The sequence below is a fragment of the Homo sapiens genome, chromosome 2 (genome assembly GCF_000001405.40).
Source record: "Homo sapiens chromosome 2, GRCh38.p14 Primary Assembly".
NCBI classification, from domain to species: domain Eukaryota; kingdom Metazoa; phylum Chordata; class Mammalia; order Primates; family Hominidae; genus Homo; species Homo sapiens.
Window position 1 is genome coordinate 122,505,111 of NC_000002.12, and position 1,412 is coordinate 122,506,522.

The following is a 1,412-nucleotide window of genomic DNA, read 5'->3' on the forward strand; positions in this document are numbered from 1 at the left end:
TCCACAGCATTCTAACTCTAACTCATTGTGACATCATTCTTATTTCAGTTCCCAAAATTTCTTATGGCCATTCTAAAGCTCATCACTGGCATAACATGCATAACATGCTCTCATACCTTATGGTGGGGAGCCTGTGGTCTGAGTGATTATGCTGGGGGGGCAAGTGTTGTGGTAAGAGGCAGATAGACAAGAAAAGCTTGAAGGAGTACCCTTTGATTAAAAAATGCAAAGTCAAATCAGTAGTCAATCAATTGGAGAAGACTGAGGCATAAGATATTGAGACAAAATCGCAGATGACAAAAATAAAGTAGAAAAGATAGAATAGTGGTGTGAGTAGGGAAAGATAGGGTAACTCAGATTAATTTAGAAATTGTGATCTAACATCACATACATTTTATTATATAACATTTGTTACTTACACATGGAATTGTATGTTCAGAGGTTGCTTTCTCGGAGACTATAAACATCATGAGGGTAGAGATAATGTCTGTTGATTCAGGACTGTGATTCAGTGCCTAGAACAGTGCCTGTGTGGGGCTGCACCCATTAAAAAAGCAACAGAACCAGAAAAATCGTGTTTAGTTAAAAGCAAAACGAAACTATCTTACTTCAAATATTATGACCTTATTGTGAGAAGAAACTAGTATACCTAGTACCTCACTTGATGGGTGCTTAATAAACATTGCTTCACTGTGATGAGGAGGAATTCAGCTCATCATAGAGGTCAAATGATTGCCTTATGCATCGAAACCACATGGAAAAACCAACTTCAGACTAAATCCAAAGCCACTTAGTAAATAGGAATCAGCACATCCACGGACTAAATGCCCTCTAATTTGTGTTGCCAACACAAATCTGTTTGTTTGTATAAACGCGATCCCATTTATGCCTACAGTGCCTTTATGTGTTTACATTTCCTGCTTGTTTTAATTTCAAAAAACTTTATTTTCAATTTTATTTCAATTTTCAAAAAACTTTAAGATTGTGACAAGATATAAAAACTTACCATCATATATACATGGAATACTATGCAGCCATACAAAAAAATGAGATCATGTCATACTGGTATGCTGAGACAAAAGAGATGACACTGGAGATGCTGAGCTTCTCGCTGTTTTTGATGACTGGTATGCTGAGACATGTCCTTTGGAGAAACATGGATGGAGCTGGGGAAAATTATCCTTAGCAAACTAATGCAGGAACAGGAAACCAAACATGACATGTTCTCACTTATAAGTGGGAGCTTAATGATGAGAACTTATGGACACAAAGAAGGGAACAACTGACACTGGGGCCTACTTGAGGGTGGAGGGTGGGAGGAGGGGGAGGAGCAGAAAAAATAACTATTGGGTACTAGGCTTAGTACCTGGGTGATTAAATAATCTGTACAAAACCCAGTGACATGAGTTTGC